The sequence below is a fragment of the Homo sapiens genome, chromosome 8 (assembly GCF_000001405.40).
Source record: "Homo sapiens chromosome 8, GRCh38.p14 Primary Assembly".
NCBI lineage: Eukaryota > Metazoa > Chordata > Mammalia > Primates > Hominidae > Homo > Homo sapiens.
In genome coordinates this window covers 1,504,255-1,524,284 of record NC_000008.11, presented here as the reverse complement: position 1 = coordinate 1,524,284, position 20,030 = coordinate 1,504,255, and the positions used below count along the sequence as shown (strand labels likewise).

Genomic DNA, 20,030 nt, shown 5'->3' with positions numbered 1-20,030 from the left:
CTAAGGAGATTGGTGGACAACAGACAGCAAGGAACAGGGTCCCTTCCTCCCTGCCGGCCTCTCAGATGGGCTCTGGGAACATGAGGCTGACCCCGACGCACACCCTGAAGATGTTCCCCTTTAAAAGCCCACTCTGGTCTCTGCTTGAAAGACAAGGCCAGCCCCGTCTGGGGATCAGTTCTGCCGTCCAGAGTGGAGGCACCGCTGAACTCTTACACGGGACGACGTCCCTGCAGATCAGAAACGTCTTTGGAAGCACACACAGCACAGCTGATCTGATGCCGAATCCGGACTTGCGGCGGAGTCTCCAAACGAATTCTGGACCTCAGATGTTTGTTTTCCCCACAGATCCAGCAGCTTAAGATTATCTCAGGCCCTGAACTTTTCAATTCACAAGTGAAATTCTATGCGGTTACTGAATTGAAGCTGAACTGTTTTATTCACTGGATTTCTTTTAAATGCTGTGACGTGCAGGAACTGCTGGGAGGCCACCATGGATGGCCCTCGGGAGCTTGTCTTTTAGGGATGTAACGAAGGAGCACAGACACTGCGGGATCTCTAGTAAAAGGACATGATTAGTGCCATAATTGACAAAAATAAAATGCAGACGGCTCCACGAGTGTTCCTCGGGGTATGTTTATGGACCACCAAAGCCCTGCCCTGCAGATCCAGAGGCCCCCAGATGTGGGAGCAGCTGTCCTCCAAACAGGACTCAATTTTCTACCCAGGGACTGTGCGGTGCCGGCCTGGGGCAGGGAGTCCTTCCCCCCCGTCTAAGGCACAGCTCCACAGCCCCATCCGGCCCTGAGATCTGGCCCGCCTTGGGGCTCCGTGTGTCTGCGTGGGGGCATGGCTGGGGCTGCGTGAAGTCAGCAGTGGCTCGGCCGGCGTGAGGCCGGCAAATCCCCCGTCTGTGCTGTGAGGCGCGGGGTGGGAAGTGGGACGGTGACCCCGTGACGCTGTTCTCTGTCGTGTGTCTTGGTCCTTCCATCCCCACATCCTGCGCCCCAGCAGAAGCCAGACAAGCAAATCCAAATTCAACGTGTGTGTGAGGGAGCTACATCTTCATGCTGTGGGCCCCTGGCAGGACCATGGGCCCGGACCACCAGAGGGGGGCCTTTTCCTCACTCCCGCCCCCCAGAACTTATCATACGCGTGGCGTGAAAGCTCCCAGGTCCCAGGAGATGCCGCACGGGCAGTGCCGTCTGCAGGTTCCCAGCCTGGGTGTGACCCCAGTGCTGCTGGTTCTGACCAGTGAGTCTCCAGCTGCCCCTGGTCCTTAGTTTATGTGGCTGACGTGAAGAGCAAAGGGTAATGCATTTAAGTTACTTTAAAACATATACATCTGTCACCCAGGTAAAAAGCTGCATCCCTTTAGCAATGTAGAGCTACTCCCTAATTTTCATGCCAAAATGCATGATATCATATCATATAATAGCCTCTTGATATCCCATGAGGCTATTAAAGAGAATAAATGGCTGTTGTTTGCTAATTAACCTGATTCATTTATTTAGAACCACTTGGCGCGTGTAATTTGAAAGTTTACACAGCAGGTCACTGCCGTCTCCTGATCCTGAAAACTCATTCTCCCTCTTTCTGCTGAAAAAGAAGCTCCTCCACTCAGCTCCCAGGTTCTGCTGGTGACTTTACAGGCGTCCCCTTAAATCCTTGCAATGGCCACATGAGGAAACCTGTGCGTCCTGCTTCACTGAGGAGAAAACCAAGACGTAAGGAAGTAAAGGATCTGCTGATGGCCGGGGGCCCAGCTTCCCGGGCATGGTGATGACCCAGCACCCGTGCGTGAGGCTCTGACTGGCCTTGGCCCCAGCACTGTGGATCCCGTGCTCTGAGCAAAAGGAGGTCCCCCAGGCCCCTGTGGGTGTGATGCCCTGGGCCCCGGCTGCTGCACACCTGCCAGCTTCCCCATGCACTCAGCTGTTTCGGCTTTCAGCAAAACTACCACAAGGCATATTTCAACACAGAAGACACAGCTTGAAGAAACAGAACAAGCATCAGAACCAGACTGTTATACGGCAGGATGCTGGTGCATCAAACCCAACTGGGAAAAATGGGCGAAAGGTCTGAGTGGACCCCACCGAAGAGGACACTCAGATGCCAAGCGTGGAAACCAAAGATGCTCCACACCACGTGCCACCCGAGGATTCCAAATTAAAACAAGTGTGCAAACCAGAGACACCCCAAATCACCTGCCCCCGAGTATTCCAAATTAAAACAAGTGTGCAAACCAGAGACGCCCCAAATCACCTGCCCCCGAGTATTCCAAATTAAAACAAGTGTGCAAACCAGAGACGCCCCATATCAGCTGCCGAGTATTCCAAATTAAAACAAGTGTGCAAACCAGATGCCCCATATCACCTGCCACCCGAGTATTCCAAATTAAAACAAGTGTGCAAACCAGAGACGCCCCAAATCACCTGCCCCCGAGTATTCCAAATTAAAACAAGTGTGCAAACCAGATGCCCCATATCACCTGCCGCCCGAGTATTCCAAATTAAAACAAGTGTGCAAACCAGAGACGCCCCATATCAGCTGCCCCCGAGTATTCCAAATTAAAACAAGTGTGCAAACCAGATGCCCCATATCACCTGCCGCCCGAGTATTCCAAATTAAAACAAGTGTGCAAACCAGATGCCCCATATCACCTGCCGCCCGAGTATTCCAAATTAAAACAAGTGTGCAAACCAGAGACGCCCCATATCAGCTGCCCCCGAGTATTCCAAATTAAAACAAGTGTGCAAACCAGATGCCCCATATCACCTGCCGCCCGAGTATTCCAAATTAAAACAAGTGTGCAAACCAGAGATGCCCCATATCACCTGCCGCCCGAGTATTCCAAATTAAAACAAGTGTGCAAACCAGAGACGCTCCATATCACCTGCCCCCGAGTATTCCAAATTAAAACAAGTGTGCAAACCAGATGCCCCATATCACCTGCCGCCCGAGTATTCCAAATTAAAACAAGTGTGCAAACCAGAGATGCCCCATATCACCTGCCCCCAAGTATTCCAAATTAAAACAAGTGTGCAAACCAGAGATGCCCCATATCACCTGCCCCCGAGTATTCCAAATTAAAACAAGTGTGCAAACCAGATGCCCCATATCACCTGCCGCCCAAGTATTCCAAATTAAAACAAGTGTGCAAACCAGACGCCCCATATCACCTCCCGCCCGAGTATTCCAAATTAAAACAACAACAAGACACCACCACACCCCGAATAGAACGGCCAGAATCCAGACCCCAACAGTACCACACGCCGGCCAGGACGCGGAGCCTCAGGAACTCTTTCATTACCCGTGGGAGTGCAAAGCGGTGCAGCCACTTTGGAAGACAGTTTCGTGGTTTCTTACAAAACTAGGCACTCACCATGCAGTCCAGCAATCACGCCCCCAGGTATTCACCCAAAGAAGCTCAAAACTTACATCCACACATCAACCCGCACACAGATGTGTATAGCAACATTATTCACAATTGCCCAAACTTGGAAGATGTCCTTCAGGAGGTGAGTAAACCGTTACATCAGGCAGTGGAATATTATTCAGTGCTAAAATGAAATGAGCTCCCAAGCCATGAAAAAGCCTTCACACTCTTTGAATCCATGGGTCATTCTGGAAAAGGCAGAACTACAAAGGTAGCGAAAGAGTCAGTGTTTGCCAGGGGTTGGGGGCAGGGAGGGATGAATAGGGGGAGCACGCAGGATTTTTAGGGCAAGGAAACTGCTCTGTGTGAGGTGGCAGTGGGGAGTCCACACCATTAAACACTCGTCCAAACCCACAGGGTGGACCATGCCAAGCGTGACCCCTGACGTGAAGGATGAAGGATGGCTTTAGTCACTAACACATCAATCCTGGCTCATCAATTGTGACAGATGCACCACGCCAGTGCGAGGGGTGAAGAACACGGGAAACCACTCGGAGTGAACCTCCTCCTGCTCCCCAAATACTTTCTGGGTTCCCCGATTGCATCGCTCCCCTCCGTGTGCCCCAGCGTTTTCCCATCTTCTTCCCTCTGTGAACCATGAGCTCCGGGGTGGGGGCCTGCAGCTGTTCTTCTCCTCAGCCATTGTGGACACCCCATCGATAGCTGATGAACCATTGATCTCGTCAGATAATCACTAACATGTTCATCAGGTGTATAGCCCATGGTATGTTGGGAAGCAGAGATGGGGACAGCGTGCCCAGCACTCCAGGGGCAGAGAGAGCTCTCAGTGGAGAAGGCCCCTCCTTCACATGCAGCCAACAGCGATGGCCCACACCTCCTGCTCCTGCGAAGCAGCTGGGAGCTCCTCCTCCTCCTGCAGACTGGAAACCGAGGCTCCCAGGGCAGGTGTGGGAGGATAGACCCAAACCCAGCCACGCCCCTTTGGTCTAGGATCCCCACCCCACCCATGCTCCCCTGCTCTGTGCCCCCAAAGGAAGCCATGGGCGGCCCTGCCGGGGCCATCACCTGCTGAGCACAAAACCCACTGTGACAGGCAGCACAGGGCCAGGTCCCCAGGATGCTGACATCCCAGCTGGGCCAGGCCCGCAGGCTGGCTTCTTACAGGCAGGCAAGTGCATACGGATCCCAGGCCCACAATGAGTTCTGGACTTTTCTTCTGGGGTCTGGAACATTTAATCTAGTTTAGGCAAGAGGTGGTGTCCATGGGGAAGGTGCATGGGGAGAGCCAGGCTCAGGGTCGTCAGAACCGTTAAACAAGGGGATCAGGGTCAGAGAATGCAGCTTGTGCCTCTCTAACGAAAGTCTCTTCCTGGAGAGGAAATAAAGTATTGACTTGAAAAGAGAGCTTTATCAGTTTCATATTCTATTTTCTGATGGATCCAACCTTGAATTGCAAAGGCCCTTTCAGCAGCAGGTTAATGAACTTGTCGTGCAAAACACTGAATTTCGGGCAGTCAGTGAACCTGGAGCTACTGTTTGGCACACAAAGCACATGTTTAGATTTTTTTTTTAAGATTTCCAAGTAGACAAGGGTTCTATGCTTTTTGGTTTTCAGGCGTAGGATGGGACATGCCGCTGCGTAAAGCTGAGCTAACTTTGGTGTTCTTCACTTTCCAGGACAGCGTTGCTCATTTTCCAGAAGCCCCTTCTGTTTCTTCCCAATTGCAGCTGAAATATTCTTCCCTTCTGACACCTTAGCACATCACATGTGAAAGCCAAGCCTTCGTATCCCTTCCTGGACTGCCAGCTCCTTCACGGCAGGGACCACAGGCTCCTATCTGTGGCTCGTTGTTGAGATCCTGGCACTCAAAATTTCGGAATTAGCTGGAGGACACACGGTCGGGAGGGCCTGGGATGGACAGGACCCTCCAAGCAGAGTTGGTCTCATCTTAGCCACGCAGAGGGAGAAGCACGGGCACTGGCGTGAGAATGTGTTTTACTAAATATCCAGATGCCGCTCAGTATCCACTGAATGCTGATGTGCACACACATACAATCATTTCCAGTAGCCAAAGACAGTGACTAGAATGCAAATATCTAACATGGGTTCGATATGGTTTGCAGAATCACTGTACAATTTATATATTATCACAATATTTGGAGCCTGAGAAAAACAAATCTCAAAGACTCCATAATTTACTCAAGAACCATTGTCCATGGCAGGGAGAACCAAATTTATATGACTTGAGCTCAAGTCTACTAGGAACATAAGGGTGTCTGGGCCGAAATCACCACGTGGTCATTTATTAGCTGATCAAGGTTGGATGAGACTCAATTTCTTCATCTAAAAACTGGACAGTCACCACAGCCATGCTCTTATGAAACTCAAACGTTATATAAATGTCAGCTTTGTTCTATGTGCCTTGTAAATGCACAAGCATACATGAAGTGACTTGCTTTTTCCCTTCATAATTTGTATTTAAAAGTCCATCTTAAACCTCCACTCGGTTTGCCACAGCCACAGAACCGACAATCTGAAGACAAAAACAAACAACAAAACCCATAAGAGCTAATGTGCTGTGTCCTGGCAGATGAGGATGAAGCAGACAGATTTCATTAGGGCCAGAATGCAATTTGGGAGCAGTCGCCATTCCAGTTAGGGCTGAACGCTAGCAAACTCGATTCCGTGTCCAATTGGGAGGCTAAATGGTACGGACAAGTCACATAACACAGAAGCGTAACACTCAATAACCTAGACATGCCCACAGACTGTTCCAAATAAGGGCTGTCTGAGATGCACCAGACTCCATCATCCGGCAGCAGCCATCAGTTTTAATCACTTTTAAATTTTTCTACAGATGTCATTTCAACAAAATAGTCCACAAATCTGCCTTGAGTGAAATTCAGTTAGTGTGTGTTACTGACGATGAGCACTTGCTCCAGAAAGTTCCCAGGTCCAAACAACATACCGTGGGGGATGGTTATTTTGTGCAAGGCTCCCCAGTCTCTGTCTTATTCCATGACCCTGCCCCCAGGGCCACACTATCATGCCAATGTCTTGTTTTTGGAAAATAAACACACATTTGTGATCCCTAATCCAACAAGCAGCTGGACATCGACTTCTTGCCTATTTCCACCACACCAAAACTCCAAGCGTAACTGCAGAGAGGCTTGCAAATGCTGCTGCCTGCCACAGGCAGGGCTCTCCTAGCCAGAAACGGGAGGCCCTTCTGCTGTGTGGTGCATTTTAGCAGGTGTGTGCCTGCATTCGGATGGAGGGGCCCCTTGCTGGTGGATGGGGAGAGCACTGACTCGGAGGAGAGCTTCTCAGTTTTCCAAAGAGGAGCGGCTCTTCTGCTCTCTCTCCCTGAGGATGCACAGCTCGGTGGAGGAAACGAGGCCAGGGTGGGAGGCTCTCAGTGGAGCAGGGGGTGGGGAAACGCCCTGAGACGTAAGGTGTTGCAGGACCAAGCACTGGGCGCCCAGGGGTGCCCCTCACCACGGCCCCTCCCTCATGGCGTGCTCTCTGCTCCTCCTGGGCTCCACATCCGTTCTTCCATCCCTGCCTAGGTCTGGCCACTCCAGGTCTAACTCTTCAGGGTCCTTTTTCCAAGCTCCTGACCCCACAGAGGGCTTGACTTCTTCCTCCCCACAGCTGCCAGAACTCACTTTCTAACATCACCCCTTTCAAAAGACAGAATGAAGCACTACGTCCAGGACTCGCCCTCCACCCACAGCCATGGGGGTCCCCAGCTCATGTCTTCAACCTGGGGAATGAAGACTTGGACCTTGAGGCTGCGGCCTTCAAGATGGGGTGATTCTACTGAACCTCGATTCCTGGTGACCGCGGAGGTGAGAAAGCCTTCCTCACCTCTGCACCCTGGGGCTGTTGGGGACTGGCAGGCTCTCGCTGCCTGAGACAGTGGATGAGGTGCTTCATTTTTTATGTATTTTATTGTTTCAAGCAAACAGAACAAAACATATCTCCTCATCCTCTTGAAGCTGTAGGGAGTTTCACCTGCTTAAAACTAATTTCAGCACAAAAAAAGGCACAAGCCTGATTGTGCCTTTCACTCATTCATGCACTCACTCACTCACTGATTCACTCACTCATTCGTGTACTCTTTCACTCAGTCACCCACTCATTTTCTCAGTCACTCACTCTTTCACTCAGTCACCCACTCATTCACTCAGTCACTCACTCTTTCACTCAGTCACCCACTCATTCACTCAGTCACTCACTCACTCATTCACTCCTTCCCTCCCTGATTCACTCACTCATTCATGCACTCATTCACTCACTCATTCACGCCCTCCCTCCCTCATTCACTCACTCATTCATGCACTCACTCACTCACTGACTGATTCATGAACTCATTCACTCACTCATTCATGTACTCTTTCACTCAGTCACCCACTCATTCACTCAGTCACTCTTTCCCTCAGTCACCCACTCATTCAGTCACTCACTCTTTCACTCAGTCACCCACTCATTCACTCAGTCACTCACTCACTCATTCACTCCCTCCCTTATTCACTCACTCATTCATGAACTCATTCACTCCCTCCCTCCCTCATTCACTCACTCATTCATGCACTCATTCAGTCACTCATTTGTGTGCTCTTTCACTCACTCATTTACTCAGTAACTCACTCATTCACTCACTCATTCATGCACACATTCACTCATTCTCACTCAGTAACTCACTTGGTCACTCATCCAATCACTCACTCACTCATTCCCTCCCTCTTTCCTTTCCTCACTCAGTCACTCATTCACTCAGTCACTCATTCATGCACTCATTCATGTACTTTTTTACTCACCCACTCACTCATTCACTCAGTTACTCATTCACTCACTCATTCATGCACTCACTCACTCATTCTCACTCAGTAACTCAGTCACTCATCCAGTCATTCACTCACTCGATCATTCCCTCCTGCACTCATTCACTCACTCATCCATTAAGGGAACTGCACATTGTAATAAGCCCATCCCTCTGTGAGATGTGGAGGAAAAGGGAAAGGAATTAAAGAGTCCATAGCACAGTACAGAGGGAATGGGAGCAGGGAACAGACTGGAGGGGCAGACAGGTCAGGTGTGTTGTATGTGTTGTATGTTTGTGCATGTGTGTGCATACAAGTGTGTGAGTGTGCCTATCTGTGCATGTGTTTGTGTGTCTGCATATTTGTGCATGTTGTGTGTGTCAACATGTGTATGTGTATATTTCATGTCTGCATGTGTGTGTGCTTGTGTCTGCATGTGTGTGTGCATGCACGTGTGTCTGCATATTTTTGCATGTCTGCAATTGTATTTTCATGTCTGCTCGTGTTTGTGTGCATCTGCATGTGTGTCTGCATGTGCATGCACCTGTGTGTGTGTGTGCACATTTCTGTCTGCATATTTTTGCATGTCTACAATTGTTTTCATGTCTGCACGTGTGTGTGCATGTGTCTGCGTGTGTGTGTGCACATCTGTGTGCATGCCTGTGTGTTCATGTATGTGCATGTGTATGCTGACTGCCCTGTCTGTCTTAAGGGAAGGGAGAGGACTCCTTTTCTCTGTGCCCCTCCCAGGATGCCTCCATGATGGTTTCTCTGGCCCAGGTCCTTTTTCCCTTCAAAAGAAAGAAAGACACCTTGGCCCTGAAACTCAAGTGCAGGGTGGGTGTGCTCATCGGCTGCAAAAGAATCAATGCAACAACTCTCCGTGATTTCCAAGGCTGCCTTCCATGTCTCCTCCTTCCTTGTTTTCTCTTTGGTTGGATGCATCCATCCCATTTCAGGCCAAACATGCGTTTTCTGCATGTTGGTCTCCCTGCAGGGATCGGTATCCCTGCACGTTGGTCTCCCTGCACGTCGGTCTCCCTCCATGTCGGTCTCCCTCCACGTCAGTCTCTCTACACGTTGGTGTCCCTGCACGTCGGTCTCCCTGCGTGCTCCTGCCCGCTGGCTGTGCTCTTGTAGGGGCTCTTCCCCTCGTGGGGCTGGCTTTCATCTCCCCGGGGTCCTGCCATGCAGCTCTGTCAGACTCTGGGTGGCATCACGCTGAGCGCCACCCTCCGGACTCAGGCCGGCCTTCCTTTCCTGTCCTGCTGAGAGATGCAGCAGCTACATGGACTAGGAGCTTGGGCCTCCACCTGCAGCGTGTGCCCATCCTCACTGACTGTGGGACTCGTTCTGTCACGTGCTGTCCCCTCCTTTAGAATGGGGTGACAGCAGAGAGGCCACACAGCTGTGAAGGGATGAGTGACATAGGTGAGTATAAGCAAAGTTCTCTAGCGGCGCCTGGAGGTGAGAAACACCCATAAATGGCTGATAGAAGTTTCACACTCCTGACCACATGTGTAGCTCTTACTGAAATATTAACGCTATTCATATTATTTCCTTTTATATTCTCCAACACAATATTTTCTCGCTGTTCCTTGATACAGTAGCTGAATTTTATACAATTTCATTAAGTTTTAAAAGTGGAGCTTAAAACGTGCTCTGGGGTTCTGTGTTATGTGAAACAGAAAGCAGGAACCATGTGTGCCATTGAAAACACCTGGGCTGTTGGGGGTTACCCTTCGCTTCGCAGGATGCGGGAAGCCTTCTGGGAATAGTCGCATAAGAAAAAATGAGAGTTGCATTTAAATTCAGGCAGAAAGAGGACATTTGTACTGGAGAGAAAACATATCTCTAATTATGTACAATTCCTCTTTCCCGTCACTGTGAATTCCTAGATGTCTAATTGGGTGCAGGCTTTGCTTCACCTGGGGCTGCTCGTGTGGCCACAAGACGCCACCCAATGCCTGCCTAGCTCTTCTCCAGAGTGGTGGGCGCTCAGAAGTAAATTATTTAAAGCAAATCTGTGCCCCATATCACGTAAGATAACCCGGGAAGGGGAGGGGATGTGTGAGCTCCTGGTACCTTTCAGTTCAACATCTCAATCACATTGCGTAGGCAGCAGGGTTTCAGTAAATGCTGAAATGGATGGATGAATGAAGGAGGGAAGGAAGGCAAGGATGGGTCTGAGGTTCGACCGCCATTGTCTGGAAGAAGGATGTTTCGTGTTGGACCTTGGACTGTACGAACGTGACCATGGGTGAAACTGGGGGAAGGGTGCCCAGGATTTCTCTGTATTATTTTTGTAACTTACACATCTATAATTGTTTATTAAAAAGTGTACTTTTAGGGAATTGCATATGATTAGGAAGCTTTTACTGAGAAAAGCTGCAGTTCCCAACGAGCTTACATACACGACCAGGAGGGCTTAGCAAGGTCTCACCTCAATTTTTAGGTTAGAAATTCAATGCTGCAATTTTCCAGGCAGTATTGTCTCTGGGAGATGGGCAGGTGCTATGCCACAGAGGCAAACCACTTGCCACTGATGGGGGTGACGGCCCCTCTGAGCTGGGCTGTGCTTGCACCGCTCCCACCAGCTGTTCCCAGGGAAAGGCGGACGTGTATCCCACCGAGCCTCCGTGGGGCTGGCCTGTGGCCTCTCCCTTCCTCCTCTGCACTGGGAAAGGCAGTAGCGTATCCCACCGAGCCTCCCTGGAGCTGGCCTGTGGCCTCTCCCGTCCTCCCTTGCACTGGGAAAGGCAGACGCTTATCCCACCGAGCCTCCCTGGAGCTGGCCTGTGGCCTCTCTCGTCTTGCCCTGCACTGGGAAAGGCAGATGCTTATCCCACTGAGCCTCCCTGGAGCTGGCCTGTGGCCTCTTCCGTCCTCCCTTGCACTGGGAAAGGCAGACGCTTATCCCACCGAGCCTCCCTGGAGCTGGCCTGTGGCCTCTCCCGTCTTGCCCTGCACTGGGAAAGGCAGATGCTTATCCCACTGAGCCTCCCTGGAGCTGGCCTGTGGCCTCTTCCATCCTCCTCTGCACTGGGAAAGGCAGATGCTTATCCCACTGATCCTCCCAGGGCCTGGCCTGTGGCCTCTCCCATCTTTCTCCGCTGTGGCCTGGGACACCAACGTGCACACACAGATGGCACAGGGTGGCGGTGCGACCATGACCCGGGGCCTCACTTTCCAGGATCAGGGTCATTCGGAAGACAAATTAGAAACCTAGAGTGTGACCTGTCTTTAGAAAATGTTGGCAGTAGTCACCCAGTTTGTCTAATTAACCTTTAGATTGATAAGTCAAAGCTGCGAAGTCTGAGATCTCTACTCCATGGACACAGCGAGCTGGGGTACTCACGCATTTGCTGTCAGCTGAACCTCCTAGAATTCTCAGCAAGAAGCGTGCTTGGCTAAAACAACTGCCATGTTGTTTGCTTTTAACAGACAGCCTCAGTGCAGGCATTTCGCTGCTGCGGCAGGCTGCTGTGAGGTGTTGGCCTCTCTCGGGGGAGTGCGTCAGTCACACGTGCAACCCGAGGGTCTTCTGGGCTGTGATTTTCCCATGCTAGACTCCAGAGCAGGAATGCACCGAGGTCAGTGCGGAACTGCCACACCCACGGCTGACACCCACGCTGGCCCCGTCCCTATGCCGCCGACGATTTCCACCATTTGTCTGAACCGTGATCACTAGCTGGCGATTTCTGCTTATGAAACCGTGTGAAATAAACAACTTTGATCATGTTGTCAAGGTAAGTGTAATAACATTCATGGGTTATTTTTAAGTTTATGGGACATTTGTTTCTTTGAAATTTATGGGGAGGAGCACACATTCTTCTACAATGGACATCTGTTTGCTAGCAACAGGCTTTCTGCAACGTGAGTGCACTCTAACCCAGCTGTTCCCAGCAGGGCTTCTCCCACTGAACTGTGGACCAGACGCGTTAGGGAGGCCGTCGGCCCTCAGCCCTGCCTACCTGGGCTGATGCGTCACAGGGCTGAGGAACACCGTTCTCAGGGAGACTTCTGAAGATTGTTAGTCAGATGTGTAATTACTGCTAACTGCAGCTAGTATTCATCCAATACCAAACCCGAGTGGTGGTAGAAAGTGCACATAAAACACGCACGCTTTTTGTCAGGCTCTGATAAGACTTGGAGCCTAATGTTTCTCTTTCCAATTCCTAAACAGATTTTGGGGTTCACCTTTGCTCATGTGACCTACTGATTGTCTTACACTAGACAGCCCTTACGTCTATGGAAGATGGTCATCTACTGATTGTCCTACACTAGACAGACCTTACGTCCATGGAAGATGGTCATCTATTGATTGTCTTACACTAGACAGCACTTACGTCCATGGAAGATGGTCATCTATTGATTGTCCTACACTAGACAGCCCTTACGTCCATGGAAGATGGTCATCTACTGATTGTCCTACACTAGACAGACCTTACGTCCATGGAAGATGGTCATCTATTGACTGTCTTACACTAGACAGCACTTACGTCCATGGAAGATGGTCATCTATTGACTGTCTTACACTAGACAGCACTTACGCCCATGGAAGATGGTCATCTATTGATTGTCCTACACTAGACAGCCCTTACGTCCATGGAAGATGGTCATCTACTGATTGTCCTACACTAGACAGCCCTTACGACCATGGAAGATGGTCATCTACTGATTGTCCTACACTAGACAGCCCTTACGTCCATGGAAGATGGTCATCTACTGATTGTCCTACACTAGACAGCCCTTACGTCCATGGTAGATGGTCATCTACTGATTGTCCTACACTAGACAGCCCTTACGTCCATGGAAGATGGTCATCTATTGACTGTCTTACACTAGACAGCACTTACGTCCATGGAAGATGGTCATCTATTGATTGTCCTACACTAGACAGCCCTTACATCCATGGAGGATGGTCACCCACTAGGGAAATTTATTTTCGGTTCCACAGTGTGGTGAAAATGACGATGCTTGTATTATAAGAAAGGTTTCAAGCTGAACTAACTGATGCCCTGGGGAGAACAAATACTGTTTGAGAAAATGGAACATTCTCACAGATTTATCTGGAGAAGCCTAACTCATTAGCAAAGGGAGATGTGCCAGATTGATTGAGCAAATTATCTTATGTGCAAGTTCCTTCTAGGTTTACTCCAAACACAATTCCTTATTAATTATGTAACACCGACCTCAGTTTCAGGTGTCAAATGCAAGGTTTGCCTTTTATTTGTTGAGTGGACCTCCTGGACTTGGACATATAATATTTTAGTTTCCTTGGGGAAGCAGTGTGGATACTCAAAAGGTCCTACAGGGTTTGGCTTGGTTCAGACCTAGACTGGCCACTCATTCACTAATGACCTTGGAGAAGTCACCACTCTCTCTGTGCCTCAGTTTCCTCACCTGCAGAATGAGAATGCGCGTCCTGTGACCTTCATGTTTGCTGTGGCGTTAAGCATATTGACCAAGGCACCAGAACGCAGGGAGCCCACGCAGAGTGACAGGTGGGAGGCAGTTCCTTTCCTTGTCCCTCCTTCGTCGTGTTCAACCCTTGGACCTGCCACAAAACTGGACCTTCCCATCCTTGACAGCACTTTCACGGAGTGGCCCAGGCATCACAAACTGATGACGTTTCTCAGCTCTTCAGAGGATGCAACAATACGTTCGTCACGCACTGCAGAGTTCCTCTGGAAGCCTGACATCTGGGGCAACGAGGCTGGCAAGGTCCCGACAGCGGACCTTCACTTCCTATGAGCCTGGAAGCCACACTTCACAGCCACAGGCTGACCTCCAAACACATCAGCAAGTTATCGCTGTTGTCCAGGGAAAGCCAGCCTGTTTCTATTTAATTTTCCATCTAAATCACAAATACCTCCCAGGGACAAATTCCGACTCCTTTTCGAATGCCCATTTGCACGGGAGCGTGCTTGTAATTTACAGGCAGTTAAAGGGGCAAATCCTTACAAAAAACTCTTCAGAATCTAAAATTACAGAAGTCTGTGTTTTCAGTTACTGCAATATGCAAATAAATTAGTTGTCATGGAAATCATGTTCGGGAAACACATGAAGTTAACGTGGACATCTGTCTGGAGTATTACACCGACTCCTCTCCGCGGCCGCGTCCTCCAGAGCTGCACTCCTGAAACCTCCTGAATGCACCTTTAAACCTGGACAGGTGATGCTGGGTTACCTGGTCACAGCGTATGAGCAATGATGACAATGATACTAATCATGGTAAAAACTGACATTGAACACTTGCTGTGAGCCACACCTTGCTCTAAGGTCTTATATTACCATATTTAATTATCTTAAAATTCCAACGAGGTAGGAAGGTTACGATCCCTTCTCTTTTTGTTAACAAACAAAGAATGAGAAGAACAGGAGAGGTGGGTGAATTGCTCAAGTTCCAGTGTATGTGCGGAGGCTTTGCCTGCAGAACCTGCCTCTGAGAACCCACGACACGCACTGCTTCCTGTTTCAAACACCGAGACAGCACAAAAGCGACTTCCTTTCTCTGCACCACCCTGATGGCTGCAAGGTATTGCTCCTGCCAAGGGCTTTCAAACTTTTTGGATTATATTCCACAATAAGACGTATATTTTACATCAGAACCTAACACACACACCCACACGCACACACCCAAAAAATGTTTCATTAGACATGTGCTCTTATTATCCAGAGTGTACTTTGGTATTTTCTAGTCTATACGGTTTTTTTTTTTTTTTTGGACGGAGTCTTGCTCTGTTGCCAGGCCGGAGCACAGAGGCGTAATATCAGCTCACTGCAATCTCTGCCTCCGGGGTTCAAGCAATTCTTCCGCCTCAGCCTCTCGAGTAGCTGGGATTACAGGCGCCCGCCACCATGCCCGGCTAATATTTTGTATTTTAGTAGAGACGGGGTTTTACAGCTTTAGGCAGGATGGTCTCGATCTCCTGACCTCGTGATCCGCCCGCCTCGGCCTCCCAAAGTGCTGAGATTACAGGCGTGAGCCACCGTGCCCGGCCTAGTCTATACTTCTCTGTTGTATTTTTGTTTCCATTTAAAAATTTGCTGGCAGTGACCAGTAACTTGAATTCACGGGTCATTAATGAGTTGCAGCCCATGGTTTAAAACTCAGTGCTCTAAAGAACTGCAGAACAGAAAACCATTGAGAATGTGGCAATATTAGATCCTTAACTACAAATGATCCCCTCTGGAGATCCTACGAATCCCCGGAGCCCGAGCCTGGCCCCGTCTTCCCCGTCTTCCCCGGGCGCTTAGTCCGCACTCATTTGCCTGCTCGGTGTTTTTAGGGAACGCCGTCAGCGCCTCCTGCGGGCACTGGGTTCATTTCCCTCCTGTGCGCAGCAGTTGTGGATTCCATTTTTCCTTCCAACTCCCCCGCCACGTTGAGCCTGCTACGTATGTCTGGGAGCTTCCAGGTCATTCTTACTGGCACATCCCACAGAGGAGAAAACACCAGCAATTGCTGTTTGAATGGATGTCGGCGCGCGTGGAGGCAGCAATGATCAACAGCGATGTGCGCGTGGTGGCGGGGGTTTGCAGGGGGTGGTGAGGGGTGGGGGGTGGTGGGCGTTTGCAGGGGGTGGCGGGGGTTTGCAGAGGGTGGCGGGGGTTTGCGGGGGGGGGTGGGGGTTTGCAGGGGGTGGTGAGGGGTGGGGGGGTGGGGGGTGGTGGGCGTTTGCAGGGGGTGGCGGGGGTTTGCGGGGGTTTGCGGGGGGTGGTGAGGGGTGGGGGGTGGTGGGCGTTTGCAGGGGGTGGCGGGGGTTTGCGGGGTATGGCAGGGGGCAGCCCGGGAGCAGGCACCGCCCTTCAGGAGGCCAGAATGGGACGCGTGATGTTTAGGAGAAAAGCTGTAAATGCACCCCAGAAATTCAGATGAAAAGCCCTGGCATCCTAAGTTCCACAAATGTTAGATGTGTCTAACTTTAAAGGTATCTGATGTGTTTGTGTGGAAATAAAATTTAAAAACGGGGTTGTTAAAATGCAGTGTGCCCTGGTGAGCTTTCATGTGATTAACTGACAATGACCCTCCCCTGCACCTCAGGGCCCCTTTCCTGTGCCACAGACTAGGCCTTTCATGTGACCACGTGTTTGATGTCACAGTGGGGAAGGAGCCTTCTCCTAAAATGTGTGGTCACGATGCTCCCATTGGGCAGTGCAGGAAGGTCAAGGCTGAAGCCTGAACCTCCCAGGAAGTGTGGTGGTGGAGGCTACAGGATGCCTGGGAGGGAGGGTGGTGGGTGGAGGGAGGGTGGTGGGTGAAGGAGGGTCGTGGGTGAAGGAGGAAGACTCGGTGGCTGAGGACCTGGGTGAACGAATGCCTGGGAGACAGGAGGGTGGACTGCTACCTTCTTTCTAGACAGAAGCTCAGCACATCACTGCTTCTGAGAGGTGACAGCATGCTGGCAGCCCTCACTCACTCCCGGCGCCTCCTCCGCCTCGGCGCCCACTCCGGCCGCACTTGAGGAGCCCTTCAGCCAGCCACTGCCCTGGGGGCTGGCCGAGGCCGGAGCCGGCTCCCTCTGCTTGCGGGGAGGCGTGGAGGGAGAGGTGTGGGCTCATGGGCCAGCGCGAGTTCTGGGTGGGCGCGGGCTCCGCGGCCCCGCACTTGGAGCGGCCGGCCAGCGCCAGCGGGGCAGTGAAGGGCTCAGCACCTGGGCCAGCAGCTGCGGAGGATGTGCTGGGTCCCCCAGCAGTGCTGGCCCACCGGCGCTGCACGCCAAATCTCCCCGGGCCTCAGCTGCCTCCCCGTGGGACAGGGCTCGGGACCTGCAGCCCGCCATGCCTGAGCCTCCCCCTCGCGGTGGGCTCCCGCGCGGCCCAAGCCTCCCTGATGGACGCTGCCCCCTGCTCCGCGGCGCCCGGTCCCATTGACCCTCCAAGGGCTGAGGAGTGCAGGCGCCTGGCAGGCAGCTCTGCCCGTGGCCCCAGCGCAGGATCCGCTAGGTGAAGCCAGCTGGGCTCCTGAGTCCGGTGGGGACTTGGAGAACTTTTATGTGTAGCTAGGAGATTGTAAATGCACCAATGAGAACTCTGTGTCTAGCAAAAGGTTTGTAGATGCACCAATCAGCACCCTGTATCTAGCTAATCTGGTGGGGACTTGGAGAACTTTTATGTCTAGCTAGAGGATTGTAAATGCACCAATCAGCACTCTGTGTCTAGCTCAAGGTTTGTAAATGCACCAATCTATGCTCTGTGTCTAGCTCATCTAGTGGGGACTTGGAAAACTTTTATGTCTAGATAGAGGATTGTAAATGCACCAATCAGCACTCTTTGTCTAGCTCAGGGATTGTAAATGCACCAATCAGCACCCTGTCAAAACAGACCAATCAGCTCTTTGTAAAACAGACCAATCAGCTCTCTGTAAAATGGACCAATCAGCAGGATGTGGGTGGGGCCAGATAAGGGAATAAAAGCAGTCTGCCTGAGCCGGCACTGGCAACCTGCTGAGATCGTCTTGGGCAGTGTGGATGCTTAATTTTTACGCTGTATGCACTAAATCTTGCTGTTGCTCACTCTTTGGGTCCGCACTCCTTTTATGAGCTGCAACACTCACCGCGAAGATCTGCAGCTTCACTCCTGAGGCCATTGAGACCACAAACCGACCAGAAGGAAGAAACTCCAAAAACGTCTGAACATTAAAAGGAACAAACTCCGGACACTCACCCAAAAGGTCCACAGCTTCATTCTTGACGTCAGTGAGACCAAGAACCTACAATGTAATACACTTCCGCTATTTCTATAAATTTCCCTGAAGAAAATAAGTATGGACGATAAAATGACAAGTATAGGTAGAGCTGGGTTTTTGTTTTTTGAAAGAACACACAAAAATAAACATCCCAAGGGGAATTCCTGTGAGACAAGATATGTATTAACATTAGAATGAGACATTGGTGCACTTAAATGCTGTGGAGATGATTAAAGCTATGCTAGCTGATGTTCTATTATATAAAAACATGTTCACAATCTATGTGCCTGCCAGGTGGAAGGCTCTAAGTATTATTTTAATATTCAGGTATTTCAAAATTACACAGTGTGTACATTTTCTCAGTGTTGTGCTGCATATATAATATGTGCTTAATATACTTTGATAATTTAATCTGCCAACTTTTTAAAATTTCATTTTGCATTCATTTATCAATGCAAAATTTGGGTCAATATAGCACTCTTCATAGATGCAAATAAATCACCAACTCTTTACAGCTGATTTAAATATAACATTCGGGAAAATGAAAAAATGCCATTCTTAGAAGTAACGTCATAATGAGCCAATGTTACAAAAGTTATTAAGAGAGCAATTTAATTCTAGTGTGTCTGAAGGTCTTCCCTAGAAACATTTCTTCTGGAAAAAGTGAGGTTTTTCTCTTTCAAGGTATTCGTTTTGAATGTGCTACATTAATTCATTTTATCAGTGACTTTAATTTTATGGAAAACTTCCTTATCCTCCTATATTTCACAGCCATTTTCCCCATCATAAAATTACTTTTCATACATTACACTCTATGAGCTTCAGAGAACGCAAATGCTCTTAAGAGGTAATGGCTAATAACACAAGTGTGGGCGGTTTTATTAATTCATCTGGCACTAATGGTATCTTAAGCTCTTCAGCCAATGCTACTCAGCTTTCCTTGGAGCTTTTGAAGACTGAGGGGAGTTGGAAAAAAAAGATTGATGCTTTGAAATAGGACCAGAAGCAAATGTCACTTCATTGCTTTATGACTTTAACCTATACTGTGCTGTAAAATGTCCCACAGCATTTTGGAAATGATAGTTACTCATTCACTATAATAGCATCAAGATCATTATGAAGTGTTTTTAATTTTAATTTGACCCAGTAGAATTATAGATCCATAAATTCGTGACTGGGAAGATCCCTTAAAAATCATCATTTAACCCTCTCAATTTAAAGATGAGGAGATTGGAACACTCAATTTGGAAAAACAAATGTCTAAAATAATGCTATTTGCTCCCAATGTTGTTATGATAGTGTTGGGAACATAACTCAGATATCCTTCCCTCCCTCTTTCCTTCCTTCTTCCTTCCTTTCTTTTTGTGTTTTTTGCTTTTTCTCTTAATTATCCTTTCATATGTTTTATATCAGGATTCTCAATCCTAGGGGTACATTAGAATGATAAAGGAATAATCCAGGAATCCCACTTCTGGGTATTTTTCTGAAGGGAATAAAATGGATGTGTGGAAGGGGTATCTGCTCTCTCGTGTTCGTTAAGATGCTGTTCACCACAGCCAACACGCAGAACCAACCTCAAGCCCATCAGCAGAGGCACAGACAAAGAAAATGTGGAATACCTACTCAGTCTTAAAAAGTGAGAAATCCTAGCATTTGCAACAACATAGATGAGCCTGGAGGACATCATGCTAAGTGGAACAAGCCAGGCACAGAAAGACAGGTGCCGCGTGACCTCACTTACACGTGGAATCTGAAAGCATAGAACTCAGAAGCAGAGGGTAGAACAGTGGTCAACAGAGAGAGGGTTGGGGGGAACTGGGAGGATGTTGGCGGAAGGGTGCAGCATTTCAGTTAGACAAGAGGAGTAAGTGACGAGGTCTATGGTACCACGTGGTGGCCACAGTTAAATGGTTTGTTTACTTGAAAACTGCTAAGAGATGAGATCTTAAATGTTCTTAAAAGCACAAGGTGATGATAAGGATGTGAGGTGGCAAGATGTTAACTAGCTTTGTTGACTTATCTCACAACGTATACCTGTATCAAAACATCACGTTGTATACTATACACACAATTTATATCCGTGAATATAACTTAATAAAGCTAGAAAAA

The 20,030-nt window shown here is 49.4% G+C and overlaps 1 protein-coding gene across 1 annotated transcript in view, besides 2 other annotated features; it reads right to left on the bottom strand.

Annotated features, from left to right (window-relative positions):
* Window positions 1-20,030, bottom strand: part of DLGAP2 (DLG associated protein 2) — a 970,849-nt gene that overhangs the window by 184,192 nt on the left and 766,627 nt on the right. The window lies entirely within an intron of this gene.
* Window positions 16,213-16,712: an enhancer, noted in NCBI's record as "H3K4me1 hESC enhancer chr8:1455739-1456238 (GRCh37/hg19 assembly coordinates)". NCBI's record gives its function as "activates a minimal SCP1, AML or CMV promoter by ChIP-STARR-seq in naive H9 embryonic stem cells {active_cell/tissue: H9 hESC(naive)}" and the evidence as "EXISTENCE:reporter gene assay evidence [ECO:0000049][PMID:30033119]".
* Window positions 16,713-17,214: an enhancer, noted in NCBI's record as "H3K4me1 hESC enhancer chr8:1455237-1455738 (GRCh37/hg19 assembly coordinates)". NCBI's record gives its function as "activates a minimal SCP1, AML or CMV promoter by ChIP-STARR-seq in naive H9 embryonic stem cells {active_cell/tissue: H9 hESC(naive)}" and the evidence as "EXISTENCE:reporter gene assay evidence [ECO:0000049][PMID:30033119]".